This window comes from Homo sapiens, chromosome 15 (assembly GCF_000001405.40).
Source record: "Homo sapiens chromosome 15, GRCh38.p14 Primary Assembly".
NCBI classification, from domain to species: domain Eukaryota; kingdom Metazoa; phylum Chordata; class Mammalia; order Primates; family Hominidae; genus Homo; species Homo sapiens.
The window spans coordinates 61,118,030-61,136,927 of record NC_000015.10 but is presented as its reverse complement, the minus strand read 5'-3'; the positions used below and the strand labels follow the sequence as shown (position 1 = coordinate 61,136,927).

General features: G+C 40.7%; 1 protein-coding gene and 1 long non-coding RNA gene across 13 annotated transcripts in view; both read left to right on the top strand.

Moving 5' to 3' along the window:
- The window catches only part of RORA (RAR related orphan receptor A), a 741,019-nt gene that overhangs the window by 92,375 nt on the left and 629,746 nt on the right, over positions 1–18,898 (top strand). The window lies entirely within an intron of this gene.
- Positions 1,351–18,898, top strand: part of LOC107984805 (uncharacterized) — a 129,290-nt gene continuing 111,742 nt past the window's right edge. For all 11 annotated transcript variants that reach the window (XR_007064660.1, XR_007064657.1, XR_002957761.2 and 8 more), the window contains exon 1: positions 1,351–18,898. This exon is cut by the window's right edge. This is a non-coding gene — a long non-coding RNA (uncharacterized LOC107984805).

Here is an 18,898-nt window from a genome sequence, read left to right as displayed (position 1 = left end):
GAGCAAATTCCAGGAAATATCTTATGTAAAGCTGAGGCCATCTTGACTTTGGACTCAAAATAAAGGTGATATTCATGAGCCTTATTTTAAGACCATAAATGTTAGGAAGAGATGGTGTCCTGTAGAGGAAGGCACTGTGAACAAAGTTTCAAATGCTTTGCCGTGGAATGTGTTATAATTGCCATCATTATGATTAGCATCCTCACTTCAAGCCTTGAGTTGGTTCATGAGTCCCAGTAACTCTGAATTATACTGATTGAAACCCTTCGTTCTGAAGGACAGCTCTTTCGACTGCGTCTCCACTTCTTGTTTCTTTACGAGAAATAAAATCCCTTTTCTTCCCCAGTTCTGTCTTGTGGTAACATGTGCTCATGTGTTTTGTCTCATTGTAGTCTATTGCATTTCTTTCTTTAATGAAAAAAATAGTAACTACCCTTTAAAAGAAAAAAAGGACTTAAATGATTTTGCTTGAGTTGTTGATAATAACTGTAGATGAGACTCCAAACATTTGATACTGGCTACAAATTTGTTTAACTATGAACTTCAGCACCACTAAAATGGACCCAACTCTAGCATCACACGTAACAACTGGATAACAGTGCCTGTCAGCATCACATAACTGTTTAAGAAACAAAATGGGGGGAAATGGTATATAGGAGGATAATTTAGGTAGTATAAGAAGAAATTCTCACATGGTCTTGTGGACAAATCTTTCAGATGGGAGGGTGGGTGGTAATATTTGGGTGGGGGAGGGAAGGCCAGCTTCTGTGCTTCTATGGCCAGGAACTCTTCCACCCCCTTTCAAGAAGAGTGGAAAATAAATCTGGAAGCGGCACACTAAATTTAAACCAGGGTCGATACCTAAAAAGGAAGACAAGTGATAAACAAAGATGTTCAAACAAATACCACCTGGACATCTTGGTAACCTATTATCTTGAACGTTTGATGAGCTGGAAGCTTTTATTTCCCCTCACAGCTTTCCATTTTCATTTTCTTCATCTTAGCCTATATACAGCTATGGGTTAGTTTTACTAGTGTTTCAAAGGTGGCAGCAAGTTGGCTAGTTGGGTCAAGATGTTAGGCACTTATTTGGCTCTCTCTTGTTTAATGTGAGACCATGTGTGGTTTGGCTGTCAGTGATGCTCGGTGTCTGTTAGATTTTCCAATGGGCTAGCTTATCATATCTACCTACCTCTTAGTTCACCACCCCTGCTTCTAGCAGTCCTGCTCTCTGCTTCCCTGGTACCCGGCAAAAGCAGCTCTGCAGGGGGATAAGGATGTACTGGAATCTTGTAGCCGCATGGTTTTAGGATTTGGTGATAGTTGTGGTTTTTTTTTTTTTTTTTTTTGATGTGGAAATACAAGTTTCTAACATTACAAATGTGAGAATAGCATCAAAGTGTGAGAAAAACTATCACACTTAGATATTATTCTAACACTTTGGGAAACAAAATAGGCTTTATTGGTAGTTTGTGTCTGCACTTGCTGTAAGTAGAATAGATACTATTAGTTTTCCAAAGTTATGGTAGGAACACATAATACAAAAGTTTTGTTAAAGCAAACATTTATTTTTAAATTTATTTATTATTATTATTTTGAGACAGAGTCTCTCTCTGTAGCGCAGGCTGGAGTGTGGTGGCATAATCATGGCTCACTGCAGCCTCCACCTCCTGTGTTCAAGTGTTTCTCATGCCTCAGCCTCCCAGGTAGTTGGGACTGCAGGCACGTACCACCACGCTTGGCTAATTTTTATGGATTTTTTTTTTTTTTTTTTTTTTTTTAGTAAGAGATGGGGTTTCACCATGTTGGCTAGGCTGGTTTTGAACTCCTGGCCTCAAGCGATCTGCCTGCCTTAGCCTCCCAGAGTGCTGGGATTACAGGCATGAGCCACTGCTATTTTTTTGCTTGAAATCTCTCAGGACAGTGGTATGTTGGACAGGGGTTTGCTTGAAATCTCTCAGGATAGTGGCATGGAAGTGGCCTGGAAGGGTATTTTTTGGCTTGAAATCTCTCAGGATAGTGGTATATTGGACAGGGTCTATGATTCTATAGGCGGTAGTAAGTAGAAGATTGGGGAGTGAGTGAGTGACCCACTGAAGAAGGAAACTGCCCACCCTTCCAAAGGCCCATAGAACTCTGAAGAGTCTCAAAGTGTGGTCACACCTGTCAGATGCTTGCTTGTGTCATGTATACTGCGCCAAGGACAACCAGAACAAGGTCTAAGGTTTGAACATTGTGGTGTGCATTTCATCATCTAGAATGTGATTTTATAAGCACATTTGTGTTTGAATAAATCAACATTGGACCATTGCATAGTTTTGTATTATTATTCCTACCCAAGGGGTTGAGAATAGGAATTCTTGCAGCATTTTTAATGGGTTAATAGTAAAGGCTAATACTTATTGAGTGCCTCCTCTGTTCCTGGCACCCTCCTCAATGTTTTCCAGGGATTCTTTGCTCCTGCCTTGCAGAGTTTATGAGATGCTGTTAGAACCTCTGGCCTTGTAAATGAGGCACCGAGGCACAGAACCTTACATAGGGAGCTGGTATTCACAGCCCAGCAGCAGTCTGCAGAGCCCATGCTCTTTGTTGTTACTGGACTAGATGTTCTTAAGTGGGAAAGGGAATCTTTTTAAAATCAAACTGATGAGGAAACTTTCCTTAGTGTATGAACACTCTAGATCATCAATAAGCCGGCAGACCATTCTGCACTTTCAGGCTGGCTTGGCCAAGCCAATTCTTAGACTCTGAGGGAGGGACATAAAGTTTCATTGAGCCATAAATGGCTAAATCAGGGTGCTCATCCTGAGTCCCAAATAACAGTTCTGAGGGCAAAGGAAGGAAACCCAGGGCTGTTCACATAGTAAATTGTGGTTCCAGAAATCAGTGACCTACCTGCTTGAGTCTGCAAGAAATCAGACATATAGTAAAAGAAACCAGACAGTGATTTCAACAAACAAACTTGGCCTCTCCTTTCAGTTGTGTTTTGGCAAGATGTTCATGAGCCTTTGCCTTCCTGTGGAAGAATTTAAGTGTATTTTGCTACAGTTAAAGATTTATTTTCATTGAGCCTGATGATGCAGTAGGAAGAAGGGTAGGCGTTAGAAAAGGTAAGGGGGTGGCATCATAGCAAATGTTCCCAGATTCCTGGAACTAAAAAGAAACCTTAAGTATAATGCCACAGCACCCAGTCAATTTCAAGAAAGGACTGGTTTATCTCAGGTTGGAGGAGAACAGAGAAGGTAAGTTCATGGGGTGAATGTAGTCGTGGCCCCAGAGTACCTCCATTCGAGCCAACAAAACTTTTGTCTGTCTGGGCCCTCCTTGGCCATCCCGACTTGTGACTCACCCTTTCCCCTGGGCTTGCCTGACATTAGAGTCAGCGGACCTCATTCTCTGATCAGCCATCAGCCCTCAACTCTCCGGGTTTCTTTATCCTCATAGATGCTTCTCCAGATTCTTTTTACTTTGGGTCATTTTTGGTTTCGTTTGTTTTGTTTTCATAAGGTGGTTATGTAACCTTGCGGAAAGGGTAAATGTAATTTATTTTACTGTTACTCCAATCATTACCTTAAGTCTTCTGAGAGTTCTGCCATGCACATTGTGACTATTCCATGGTTACAAGGCTCAGGAAGATGCAAAGAAGAATGGCTTTCTCTTTACACCCCCACAGGGCATTAGCAGTTACCATGCAGAACATTATATATATTACCTGATCGATATTACTTTATATGCATAATTTGAAAAGTATTTCCTTAAAAAACAGGGCAAGTTTTTTTTTTTGGTGGGGGGATAATGAACAAAATGTTTCCCTTTATACCTTTTCTAGTATGATACATTTTCTAGTATTTACAGTTTTACTTTTAGAGAGTTACCTTTTGAAGCATACTTAGTTACTGTTAAACTATTCTGTTCCCGTAGTTGGATGAAGCTAATAAAAAAGCAGGCTATTTTTATTAACCGCCAGATTTCACAACAGTCGAGTGTTCCATTTTGATACAAAGAGATATATAGCCGGATTTATTCAGCAGTTCTTTATATTTATAAAAGTGTCAACAGTGAAAACAGCATACATTTATACAGGTCAATCATATAAATGTACCAAGCAAATGGTGGTACCAAATTTATGGGCTGCGTTTCCCCTGCCAGCAGTATAGTTTAACCTTATTTATAGAATAGTAGGTAAAGTTGGTGTTTGTTCTTTCAGCTGTTTGCATTTCTGACAGCAGGACTGTTACAGCAGACTTAGAATCTGTGTAAAAGCTGAAGGAAATTCTATTTATGTTTATAATTGCTAAAGAACAAACCCTAAGTTATTGCACTTCATTTTTTTACAACTGGAATTATAGCATATTGAAATCTACATTTTCATTATTTATCTTTTGACCTTACTTATTAAAGTATCTTGTGATTACTATAAAAATAATATTGAAAAGAAGGATAAAAGTCTTTTATCCTTTTATCCGGAACTGGGATATGTAATGCCTATAAAATCGGGTCAAGGGTAATTATACTTTACCGTGAAAAAACTTTGTAAACAGCAAGAACAATCGAGCTGTAAGACACTTTGTTGAATTGTCTTTGTTTTGTCTTGATGGAGGTCATGGTTTATCAATCATTCAAACATCCGTTAAGATAAAAAAAAAACCTAATAATTTTCCTGTTGACATGTATATATGCTAGCATTTAATGTGGTTAAACTTTGAGGAAATTAAAACAAATTGAATTCATTTTTCTGGAATGATACTGTTTCTGTAAACCCCTAGATTACATGCATTTCAATGAATTTCTACTTCCATTTTATACCAGGAATAGATAGATTAGTGAGCAAATTCCTCCTTTTTTAAAAGACTTGAATGCAAATCTGATTTCTATTTTAAAAAGAGAGAGGGAGGGAGGGAAGGAGAAAGTGAGGGAGGCAATGGAGAATGCCCCAAGGGGCATGAATTCTACCCATAAGTTCCATCTCCACTAGTAATCAGGGTTACAGCATCTACCCCCAGTTCCAATTCAGTGCTGTTTTTTCCAAGTGAAGTTTTTCCTATTTGCCAAGTATGAAATTTTACCAAAAAAAGGAGAAATGACTTGCTTAGAGTTACACATCCGTTTGGTGGCAGAACTGGAGTCCAGTTTCATTTTTCTCACTCCTGCCCTACTCCTTCCCCAGCCCTGCCCACGTTGGAATTTCTGCTCAGTATGTTTTTCCACTGTACCAAATTGAGCTCCGATGTTGGCACATTGCCTTTCATTTCATATTAAATGAGTGAATACATTAAAAGTGCTTAAAGCACTGTCTAACGGATAGTCAGTAGTGTAGCACATGTTCTATTAATAACATTATTACTTCTATAGCATGAGTAACTAGATCCCAGTTCCTCCAGTTTTCCAGTGGATGGCCAAAGTCCCCTATAATTTCCCTCAGTCTTTCCCCAGGAAGTCCTCAGTCCCCACTCACCCCAACCCAGGAGTAGCTCCAAAGAGCCTGCAGCTGTGTCCTCTAGAGAAATGCTGGAGTCACCTTGCTCCAGCAAATGCTGCTGAAATCTGCTAGAAGTCTCTGATGAAAGAGTCTAGATTTATTTTCTACAGACAATTCAAAACTTTTAAAACATGGATTTATTTATTAACAGATAAATACACAAAGAGTGAAAGCATTTTGCTGAATCACAAGTGGGATGAGGCCACCTAGAGAGTTAGTGACATAGATCCTGGTAAAAGCACATGGTCAGGAATGTTAGTGACCATCAAGTTTACACCCAGTGTTCAAAAGTGGTGTGACCTGGTTGGCCAACCATAGCACGCTAATCCTTCCCACTCTTGAGTGACTTGGGTTTTGCCTCACTGGATATTACAGAGGGCTGAGTAGTAGGTGCATCGTCTGAACTGTACACGTGTACTGAAGTTATTTATATGCATATAATATTGGTTAGACTTATATTTGGAGTCAGGAGACCTGGGCTTCACCACTATTGATGAATTGTTTTTAAAACTTGGCTGGGTCTCAGTGATACCAGGAGTAATTGTGAAGATAGATGCTCACCTTCTCTTCTTTATTTCTTCTTGAAGCCCTATGTTTTTTAAATGTGATTCCCATTTTATTATGAACATTTTGAAATGTGCAGAAAAGTTGAAAGAACTGTTTAGGGAACACCCATTCTAGAGTGGATTTTAATAGTAGTAATGCTACCAACAACTACCATGTACCAAGTACTTCTGCTCCAAGTACTGTGCTAAATCATTTACCTGTGTTTTTCTCATTTAATCCTTTAAGTGACCTTATATCTAGATATACTTATCTCCATTTTATGGAGGAGGAAATTAAGCCCCAAATATATTAATTACTTACTCAATACTTTAGCTATCAAATGGCGAAACACAGTTTGAACTCATATCTATAAATTCTGAATTCTAAGCAGACCTTCCTGCCAAAACATCTCACACTGCGAAAGGCAGTGCGTCCACAAAGCATTCACTTGGTTCTTCCATTTTCATAGAATCAAAACCTATAAAGCCCACCATAAAATATCATCTTTTCAGATATTTTCTTTCCTGAGCCTTTGTTTTTTTCCACATGTGAAATGAGAGGGTTGTGGAAGATTTTGAAGTCTTTGGCTCTGAGATCATGTAGAGCCAACTCCCAGCATCAGAAATCAGATGTGTACATTTATCTCATCCCTTCCAAAACAAATATGAGTTGTGTCCATTTTATAGATGAAATAACCAGTAAATTATTATGCTAATATTATAACTAATATATTATTTCTTTTCAGAGCAATGGAAAGATATTCATTAGGCACTCATGACCCAAGAGGTGTCTAATGATACTGTCATCTCTCCTTCTCTCCATTCCCTTTCTGCTTTCTTCCTGTTTTTCTTCTTCCTTTTTGATAAGGAAAGGAGACACTATCAGGGTGCAGCCATGCAGAGCAGTTTGGAGTTTATAAGCAGTAATCTTATACACCTTTCATTTCTTGTTGTTTGTAAACACTCTGAGGAAATGGAATACATTGGAAACCCTGTTTACTGAATGTGTGTTGGTCTTTTTGATTAAGAAAGGTGGGGGAAAGTGGGGATCTGCCTCCTTGTTCCTCTTTTCCCAGTTCTGCATCTCTTTCAGTTGCAGGCAGATCTCAAGATCAGAAGATTAAGACAGGAAACCAGGGAGATGGAAGCATTGTCCTTCTCTTTTTAAATTCCTTGTGAAGCCCTGGTAGGGTTAGCAGAGTGCCCGGAATTTCTGATCCTTTGACTGAACTGTCATTCATTAGAACCCAAGCTTTAAACTCTACCATTTAAAACAGTATCACATTTTTTATTGCAAATTATACATAACATAAAATTTACCATTTAAAAAGGTACCAGGCATTGGCTTTAAGTACATTCACAGTGTGCAACCATCACCACTATCTAGTTCCAGAACCTTTTCATCCCCCCGAGCAGAAACCCTGTACCCATTAAGCGATCATCCCCCATAACCTCCTCTCCTTAGTCCCTGGAAACCACTAATCTACCTTCTGTCTCTGTATATTTGCCTTTTCTAGATATTCCGTATAAATGGAATCATTACAATATGTGGCCTGTTATGTCTGGCTTCTTTCACTTAACACAATGTTTTCAAGAAAACATTGCCATTTTAAATCGCCAGGTATTTTACTATTTCTTTTTTTTATCCCTCTCGAATCACAAATGGCACCCAATTTTTTAGCCTTTTGAAATACCTTCTGTAACATATAGAGAAGGAAAATATCTAGAATTGGGGAAGATATCTAGAAATAGGAGATCAAATGAAGAGTAGACATATTTCCATAATGACTTGTAAAACTGCCAAATGCAGAGTTTGATTTTCTGCCCAGCTGGAAAGTCATTTAGTGTTAACGAGACATGTGAATTCTTAAATTATTCATTTTTAAAAATTATTTTCAGCTATTTTAATTCATGACACTAGTTATTATTTTGTAAAGGGTTAAGGGCACTCGTAGAAGGGAGTGGGCCCAAGGCAGGCACGTGGTGCCACGGCCAGTGTCTCTTCTTGGGTCCCATGTAAATGAGCGTGCAGGACCAGGTTGGTTGCTCTCATTCCTGGGGCCATCGTGTGCTGATTGACTTTGCTTAGCACTTGACTCTTGTCTCAGGATGCATTGCCAATATTTGGTTGTGTTCTGAGACACTAGATCCTTTGTGATCTGCTTTTACTCCCCTGGAGGAAATTCAGGAGTTATTTCCCCTTCCCTGACAGATATCACAGCATTCATATGTGTCCCTGGCAGTTGGAACCAGAGAAAGAACATTTCAACCCTTCCGTAAAGCTGGAAAAACCATGGGAATATATGTGACAACATCGATTGCACACCCCAGGATTTCTCTCTCCCCGTATCCCTGAGTTATCTAACGTAATCAACAGCGTCATAGGTCTGTGCTCATGGTATCTGTAATTATATTCATTTGTGTGGATGCCCAGGGAATTCCAGTGACTGGCCCTGTAAGTGGTTAACTGCAAACAGGAGCCTGCTGGAATTACAGCATCATTTGAGATCCTGCACATTTCATGTGACTGATTTTAAGTTTATATACTGTTTAGATTTTTTTTTTCTTTCTGTATTTGCAGTTTAAAAAATAAAGGTAAGCTAATAATTCTCCGGTCAATTTGCTGTTTTTTTCTAGTGCTTTAAAAGTATACCCTTGCAGAAACACACTCACACACAGACACACACACACACACACACGTGTGCATACACACACACAGCAATTATGATATAGGGAAAATATACAAATCATTCCAACTTAAGTAGAAATGATAAATAAGCTGACTCTTGAAATTATGTTTCAGTGTGAAACCAAAAGCATTTTCCCTCCCTTTCTCCTTCCCTTGTTTTTTTCCTCCAGATTTAAAATCCTATGGGTAAGCCTCTTCTACTGGACTGCATAATTAGGTAGATTAATTAGCACCTGTCCTATAGCTGTAAGAAGCTGATGCATACAGTGTGGCCTCATAGTCTATGCCAGACCACTTAAAAAGAAACTGTGGGGGTCCGGTGGCTGGCCTTTAGACATTTTCATAAATTAAAAATATTGAGAGCCAGCCCAGGTACTGCACCCTCACCGGAGAACTGGACGGGTGAATGGAGTTGTGCTGGGTGATCTGTCTGGATGGCCCGTGTTAATGATGACAAATGAGCTCAAGGACAACTATTGAAAAATATTGGAAGCCTGAGTTCTGCTGTTGAAATGTTCTGTCAAATTAAAGAAAATCAACTTAAATGCCAGCAGCACAAATCTTCTAGAAGGCAACTGAAAGGAAACTCCAGAATCGTCAGACATGATGCATACTTGGTGTTGATTGCCATTCATTTCGTTTGTGCATCATGTTGTAAGAAAACAAAGCTTTGGGTAGAGGGGATGTGACTGCCCATTGCTTTGGAGATCTGTTTGCCAGACATTTCAAGTCAGAGATATAACGTACAGTTTGAACAAAGAGCCGAAAAGGTGTGAACATCACATGTGGACCTTTTTTTGTGGCTCCGTTTCCTAACCTCACACAGATTCCATCTCTTGAATCCCACCAGTTTAAATGCTGTGTTTAATTTGTTTAATAGTCTGCATGAGGAAGATTTAATATTCCTTGCATGTCATTCTCCAAAGCAAATTGGTAATAGTATTATTAAACTTACTCCATGATGAGACATAAATTGAGTCCTTTCCACTCAGAGAAAAACTGCCAAGCATTGTTTAACACACACTCAAGGTCAGGGGGCACAGTCAGAAGTACACGTGGAAGCAGTTTGAAGACTGTGACACACTGCCTTTCAGAGAAGGTCCCCTGCTGGATCTTTCCTGGGTAGGTGTCTAATATAGTAATATATTTATAATTGGATTTTAATTGCAATCTGATTTTAGTGTGTGTGTGTTTCAGTTTGCTGCTACCAGAAGGATGAGGCTCCAAATGAAATTATACAATACCTCTCCCAGGGCAATTTGTTCTCCGCCAAAAATATATTGGAAGAATAAAATGCATGCAGTGTTGTTTGCCTTAGTTTATTGACTTAACAACCTAAGTTGCTTTCCTCTTTGGTGTTTTATCTTGCTTTGTGGTGCACTCCAGCGGCATGGAATGGTGGAGAGAGCGTGGGCTGATCGCAGGCTCATGGAGTTCCAATAGGGAGGTCCTGTGTAAGTTACTTAAACACTTTAAATTTCCATTTTCTCTTCTGTAAAATGGAGATAGTGATATTTATCAGGTGTATGTGGGAGAGTGTTTTGATGTTCAAACAAGATAAGACGTGAATATTCTATCTGGCATCTACAATAGGAGGTGAAAAAACCAGTAGCTTGTTAATTACAACTCTTTGAAAATAGATAGTTTCCTTATTTCATACTCTTCACTGTCCCTATACAGTAGTCATTTTTTAAAAAGCAAGGAGGGGGAATGAAGTGATGTTGGTCAAAGGGTATAGAATTTTAGTTAGGATGAATAAGTTCTGGATGTCATACAATGAAGTGACTATAGTAAATAATTTATTATAAACTTGAAAATTGCTAAGACAGTAGATTTTAAATGTTCTCAGTACAAAAAAAGGTGTGTAAGTTGATGGATATGTTGATTAGCTGGATTTAATCATTTCACCATGTGTACATATATCAAAATATCAGGTTGTATACACATTGTGCATATATTATAAACACATACAATTTTTGTGTGTCAGTTAGGCTGTAATAAAGCTGGAGGGGAAAAGACATCTGAGAGCCTTTGATGATTTTAGGGTGTGGAGACTCTATGTCTGGCTGTCAACTGGAGGGCTGCTTATGTTAGCCAAGCCTGGTTCCTTGTAGCCCCAGAGGAGGAGCTTTTTAAAGAAAAGTGACCAGAATTCTTCCCATTGCTCCTTACACAGCTGCGAAACTATAATTTAATGTAATACAAGATTTCAAAAAGATCACAACATTAATACTTATGTCAATTGGTATCATAGCACAGCTTCCCAACATGAAATTTTGCTTTTCTGGATCCTATGCCACCATTCCTGTGGCAATACAATCCTGCTCACAGGAAATGTGATGGTTTTTCACTACCTTTTAGCCAATTGATTTTTTAAGAATGTGCTAATGGAACCGATTTTATTCAAATCAAAAGCATTTGATATTAGGGCTTTGGTGGAAAATAGGACTTTTAAGTGTATTCCTGTTGACCCTTCTGATTTGGAACTGGGAGGAGAAAAGAGGAAGGACAGAACAAGAAAATTCTTGCTAAACAGAGGAATCAGAAGCATTGTCAATTTTTAAAAAGAATTAGTTCATAGGGAAATAATTGAAATGGTATAATAAAGTTACTTTTGTAATCCAATTTTTGCAAAAAGGAATATTTGGGATCAAATAATAACATATTCATTGTGATCTAACGAACAATCTGATATACTGTATAACTGAAATAAGCATGAATTCCACGAAATTTGTTGGCTCTTTGTGCCCACTTGTTTCACACCACTGTGCTCTTTTTGTCGGGTTAGTGGAATAGACATATTTTGTAATCTAATAGTATCAATAAAGAAATTAACTGCTCTTGATAGCAACAGCCCCCAAGTTTATAATTTGATAACACCTTTCTACCTGAGATAACAAGGATAATACCCAAACACCATAAGATTCCATAAACATGTGTAGGGCATTCAGTGTCACGTTTTTTAGTATCCTTATCCCTTTTGCCCTCACAAGATGCACTTTTTACAATAATACGATAGTTGGCTTTTGGTATGAATACTAGTGTTAATAGATGTAAAATATGACATTTAGTGGACCAAAAAGGTACAGTTTTATATTTTATAGGCAATTTATTTTCATCACCACCAACATTGCAATCACAGAAAAGGTTGATGATGAACATTTTTAAATTTGAAAAAATCCAATTGATCCCCTCCCTTTCCAAACACACACTTTTTCTTTTGCGTTTTTGCAGGGGTGGAATAAGAATGGGTTGTATAAGGAAAGATCATGTTAATGCCTGCCATGGATTAGATGCTGGAAATAAGACCCAAAGATTATAATGGAATAAAAAGGGGATTACAGTGATAGAGTCATGTGAGGTCAGAGTGGAAGGTTAGCAATCAGCTAGTGAAGTGTGATCTTCTTATCAGATGGAGAAACTGAGGCTCAGAGAGGGGTTCAGTCTTTGAGTACTCAGAGTTACAAGGCTCCTTAGTAACAGAGCCTGGGTTTTAAAGTCTTATTGATAGAGGTTTTATTGCTCCCAGGCAGGATTTGAAAAGCAAAGGAATTGAGGAAAAGTTATGCTGGGAAAAAAATAAAACAAGATTAAAAAATAGTTAAATAAATATAGACAAGGCATTGCTTTTAAAGAATGACCTACATCGGAAACTAAAGGGTTATTCTTCTCTTGGGATTCTCTGGCTAGAAAGCCATGTTCCAGTGCGTCCCTCTTGCTGTTGGTCTCCTGAGCTTCCTGATGAGAAGCAACACTTGTGAGACTCCACACTCTGCTCTCAGAGGGGCAGAGAGGGTGCTGAATCGGCATCAAACGCTTCAGGAGCCTCCCCCGCTGCCTCCAACTGCATCCATTTTGTTCCTGCCTGGAGGTAGACCGCAGTCGGGATCCAAATATATAGGAAACAAAACCTACCAGCATGAATTATTATAAGCTGTACCCACTAGAATATAAAAATAGTATTTTCCTGATGTTTGCATTATCCCTGAGCCCCGATAAGGGAATTGCTTAAAGGAAAAGCAGCCAACACCTAAATGGCAGGGGTGCCAGGCTGCATAATGGGCTAAGAGGTAGGAGGCTGACCTCAGGAAGCAGCAAGGGAAATCTGCTTTGAAGGGAATCAGCAGAGCTGGCATTGTGCTAGGTGCTGGCGGGTAAGGAACCTTCTCACAGGCCTCCAGTGGCTGTTCGCATGTATGTTTTGAAGTCTGAGGCCTGATAAACATTTTATTTAGTAGGATAAGCGAGACTTCGAGGATTTTGCAGCAGGCTGAAGTGAATTGCTCCGGTGTTCTCACCAGCATCCTACCCAGAGGTGTCAAGTACCTGGAATGGTTGGCCCCAGCATGTAGGAAGTAGACAGAAGGGTCATGCCCTTCCCTCTTATTTCCCAGGTATGGACATGGAGGTTAGGGAGACATTTCAGGTCAGAGGCCGGCTGGGAAATCTGGCTTAGGCCTCTGCTGGAGCTGTGCTTCTCAAACTTGCCTGCATGTTAGAATCTCCTGGAAGACGGGGAAGGGACAGTTAAAAAATCCCAGTGCCCATGCCACACCCCAGACCAATTATATTAGAATCTCCAAAGGGCTGTGGAGCCCAAGCATCAACATTTTTTAAGCCTACCTCGGTGTTTCCAGTGTGCATCTAGAACCAGTGGGTGAGAACATTCCCAATTTGCAGATAGTTTTATATGAAGAATTTTTTGAGGATTGTTTGTTTTGGGACACGTGAAACTCCTCAGGGGCTCTTCATGTGCCCCCTAATATGGATTAGACACCTGGTTTAGCCCAGGGCAGGGAACACATCCTGCCCTTACATTATCTTGGGCAGTGTATTTGCAAGCTTTAGCTGCTCAGTTTTGATATATGTTGGTCTGTGAGTGAATGAACGAAGCCGTTTCCCATCCCCTTCCCTGCTCCCCCCTCGCCTCATTGGCAGTTAACTCAGCCTCTGGTGTATTAAGAAAAATCCTCACTGCTTATGTAGGGTGCACCCCCTACCCACCGCCCTGAGAACAGGGCAGAGCTGAGACAGAAGAGTGAGTGACACCCCAGGAAAGCAGCTTCATCATGAGTCGATTAAAACCCCAGCCTCCTGACCTCCAATCATAAGTTCCTGGCCCTGGGAAATAGCTCTCTAATGGGCTCTGGGCGATAAAGCAACAAGGTTGAAATTGAGGTTACATTAAAGCCTAATTTTCTTATGAGGAAAAATGTACAAATGAATATGAAAGTGATGTACCTTTGTAATCTAGCTTCTTGCCTGTGCCCAAACATCCTTAGCCTTTTGTCTCAATTTTCTCAGTACAGCATGTGCCTGAAGCTGCCCGAATATATTTTACTCAGTAATGCACAGGCAAGAAGCCTTATCTGGGGTGTGGGCAGAGAGGATGGCGTAGCTTACATTTAGAGCAAATCAGGACAAATGGAGCCTGGTACAGATGTGGACGTTAGCATGCTAGCCACACACTTGGCACAGGCAATTTCTGGATACCAGAGAGGGATTCCAGACACCTGTCTTAAAAAGATCCACCCCTTACTAGCTGTGTAAGCTTAGGGAAAAAAAAATTACTGATTCTCTTAGCCTCAATTTTTTCATCTGAAAAAAAGTGATATCCTCCGTAGGGTATTTATGAGATCATATCTGAGAAAGGGCTTTAAACGTTATACAGCCATATATAAAATGTAAATTACGGCTTTACTAGACCCAGTTCTGCCATGAAGTCAGTGTAACCTCAGGCAAGTCACTTCACTGCCCTGAGTCTTCTTTTCCTCATTTTTAAAATTGAGAATTTGGAGGAGACACTTTAAAATATATTCCAGCTGCATAGGTCTTGTGTCTGGATTCTTAGAAAAGACCGTTGGTGTGCAGTTTTCCAAAACTGCCCCTTTTCAAATGCTTCCCTTAGTTCTCAGTCTTCTCCACAATAGAAGAGAGCCCTCTCTGTTATCCATTGTGAGATTTTAGAAATAGAACGGGGAGTGAAGAAATAATGTGGAATAATGTCTTCCCGAACTTTTCAGCTCAAACAGCAGAGCCTGGCTTAAGAAAGAAAGAAGTTCTCTCAATGTAAAGAACTGCTGAGATGCCATCCGGAAATGCTGTTTACTCTCCTGCAAAGAGCAGAGAGGTGATCCAGAAATACCAAGTGAATATTTTTCCTCTTACATACAGTTCTTATTTCCCTGGTGTTTCTAAGCAGTATTAGCCTTTATCCTTAAGCAACCCATCTTATATTGTCCAGGATTTCATATACACTAGATGACATTATTCTACTATCACTTTTAATGCTGCAGTAATTTTCATAACCTGCAGTATGTATATGGATCCTTATTATAACTTCTACTTGGGCCCTTTTTTTTTTTTATAGGAAGTCATTTTTTTTTTTTCTTTTGGCAGTTACATTGCTAAGGGCTTTGAGGATTTCCTTAATGCCATCACTGGATGGGTGTGTGTTCTGAATTGTCATTTTCTGCTTTTGTGCAGTTTCTCCTGTTCCTATGAGCTTCGTTACCTGCTCATGAAGAATATGAGTCTTTGGAAGTCTGGATTGCAGGCAGCTCCAGCGATGCCCAGAGTCTTGTTAGGAGGGCATTTCTTCTTGCCCTCGCCATGACAGATTTGAGATCCTGGTGCAGACTGAAGCTGAAACGAATTGCTGAGATGAGACCCCAAAGACAAAGAGACGTGCAAGTAGCTAAGGGTTTCAAGGGGCAGTTTAATCATTGCTGACTTCAGGCTTCCTGCTTTGCAGAAATTCTTTCTGTAGCAGCAAAAGCTTCTTTTTAAAGAAGTTGTTAGAGCTTGAGTTAGATATGGTGGTGGGCTACAAAAGTCATTTGATGATATTTAGTAATTCCCTTAAGGAAAGATACTTGGATCTCTTCGGAGACATATGCATCCCTCCACTGCAGACAGCCACCCAGTTCCACTTCCTGCTAGCTCTGTGCCGTTGAGCAAGACAGTGACCTCTCTGAGCCTTAATGTCCTCATCTGTAAAATAGTATTGCTATAACTTAGTCTGCGTTATGGAGTGGTGGTAAGGATCAGAAGTAAGGCTTAATTGGCTGGGCATGGTGGCCCACGTCTGTAACCCCAGCACTTTGGGAGGCTGAGGCGGGTGGTTCACCTGAGGTCAGGAGTTTGAGACCAGCCTGGCCAACATGGTGAAACCCCGTCTCTACCAAAAATACAAAAAAATTAGCCGGGTGTGGTGGCAGGCGCCTGTAATCCCAGCTACTGGGGAAGCTGAGACAGGAGAATCGCTTGAACCTGGGAGGCGGAGGTTGCAGTGAGCCGAGATCACACCACTGCACTCCATCCTGGGAGACAAAGCGAGACTCGATCTCAAAAAAAAAATAATAAAAAAAGAAATAAGGCTTGATTTTTAACCTCAATAAATTTTAGTTGTTTTTGTTAATTTCTCCGTAGTATATAGTGGAATCTAAGGCTTTGATTCATGTTTAAAAATATGTGTCCTTTGAAGTAGGGTATGTTTTTTTTTTTTTTTTTTTGAGACAGAGTCTTGCTCTATCACTCAGGTTGGAGTGCAGTGGTGCAATCTGGGCTCACTGCAAGCTCCGCCTCCCGGGTTAACGCCGTTCTCCTGCCTCAGCCTCCCGAGTAGCTGGGACTACAGGTACCTGCCACCACACCTGGCTAATTTTTTTTGCATTTTTAGTAGAGACGGGGTTTCATCGTGTTAGCCAGGGTGGTCTCGATCTCCTGAAGTTGTGATCCGCCCGCCTCGGCCTCCCAAAGTGCTGGGATTACAGGCGTGAGCCACCGTGCCCAGCCAGGTATGTTTTTTTAAAATTCCTCCTTTGGAACAATGGTCTTCAGCTCTGCTTGCATATCAGACCTTTGGAACAATGGTCTTCAGCTCTGCTTGCATATCAGATTCTGATTTGATTGGTCTGGGTTGAAGCATAAGGATTAGTATTTTAATTTCATTGAGGTGTGATTTAAGCCAGTAAAGGATGCAAATCTTAAGTATATGGCCTAATAAATTTTTACATAGAAATACATCTGTCTAGCCACCACCCATATCAAAATATAGGACATGTGGCATCTGTATTTACTCTCCAGATGATTCTAATGGGCAGCCAGGGCTGAGAACCACAGCCCAAGCAGACGGTCATCCACATTAGATCTGACACTGGCTTTTCTTTTGTCTTCAAAACGTACTGTGTGTTTTTATCCCTGTGCACTCATGTTCTCCTTTACCATCATCTCTGTTTCACAAAACTCCTCCCCGCCTCACCTGTTGCCACTAGCATTTGCACACTTCTCTTTTGTTGCCCTCAACCCCTTGTACTGTACAGTGAGTGGGTGGGCATCTGCCTCCTCCACAGATCTATGAGCTTCTCCAGCACAAAGACTGGATTTCACTGGAATTTCATGTCCCCAGGGATGCCACACTAAGCATGCATAAAATAAATGAGTCAACTCTGGTATACTCCAGCTGTCCTGCTGCCATTTGCCTCATCCACAAGAATAACTGTGGTTGGGGACAGGGAAGGAGTATAGCTAAGTCAGATTTTTTATTGTGGCCCTCAAGGCCAACCTGGGGAGCCCTACTGGAGGAAGCCCTGAAGGATAGTTGCCCCGATGACCGGTTATGGTGGCCTGCAATCCCAGCATTTTGGGGGGCCATGACAGGCAGGTGGCTTGAGTACAGGTGTTCCAGACCAGCCTAGGCAACATGACAAAACCCTGTCTCTGGGGGGAAAAAATAAAATGTATATATATATATTTGTGTGTATATATATATTTGTGTGTGTGTATATATATATATATAGTGTGTGTATATATATATATATATACATATACAAAAAAAAATTTAAAACCTTAGGCAGGCACGGTGGTACATGCCTGTGATCCCAGCTACTCAGGAGGCTGATGTGGGAGAATTGCTTGAGCCCAGAAGTGGAGGTTGCAGTGAGCCAAGATTGCACCACTGTACTCCAGCCTGGGTGACAAAGCGAGACCCTGCCTCAAGAAACGAAACAAACCAAAAAAGCGAAAGTTGCCCCTGAAAATATCTCTGGGAAGCGGTCCTCCCTCTGGATAAGCTGAGTGCTTGTTCCTGCACCTTGGCTCACACGACTGCTCCATGGCGCCCCCCCCCCCCTTCTGTTAACTGCATCTTCCCGACTTCAACACCCAGCTCATGCTGTCATCTCATGTTCATCTTCCAAAAACTCCGACCCTCACGCATTCCTTTTTTATTTTCTTTTTGTTTCCTTTTTGCGCTTGATGTCAGTATTATAGGTCGCCCAGTACATGGTAGTCAGGGCCATCTTTGTTTCACATGACAAGAGGAACTCAGCCTTAACACCTGCTCTGTCTGCCTTGGAAAAGAAATGAAGAAAATACTCGTTTCAAAAAACAGTTGGGAGTTTTAAATGTGGATTTTATTTCCTTTCTGACTTGTTTTTATGAAGGAAAAAAAAAATCATTCCTCCTCCCTATTTGGCAGGGGTAGCGTCACCCTTGAGGAGAGTGTCACAGAAGGAAAACGCGATCCCCCACCATTGCCGTCCGGCTCCAGGTTCCTGAGCTGCTCTCTCTCACCTCTGGCTGAGACTTTTTTTTCTCTTTCCCCTAGCCATCTTTCTTAACTCTCGGGGCCCCGTGCCTAAATGACCTGATCTGTGAAATGGAGATATATAGTCCTTTCATTTTAAGTCCTCTATACATACAAATAAGAGTGAGAAAATCTGCTGAAACTGAATTTTTTAAAACCCTCTTCCAAATCATGTTTGGTTGTTTTCCTTAATAACCAGAGATGCAAAAGAACTCACTCATTATGCTGTAGCTTTTCTATTTCTCACCATGGAAAATAATCCCAGTACAGCTCTTTTGTGCTTTAGTTCACAGGGCCTTTACCGGGCTTTATCTTACGAGAGCCTCACAAGCGCCCTGTCAAGCCGAGAGACAGGGCAGGCCTGAAGGCTCAGTTGAGGAATCACCTTCCTTAAGAAAACTTGAAACCCTGACATTCCCCCACCCCTACCCTCTTTCCTTTCCAATACTCTCTGTATATCTGTATTAATGTTCCCACCACACTGTAGGAATATCTGTTTGCATGGCTGTTTCTTCCCCTACACTATGGGCTCTTTGAGGATAGAGACCATATCTAGCATTTCTCTGTAACTAATGCCCAGCACAGTACCTTGGTGT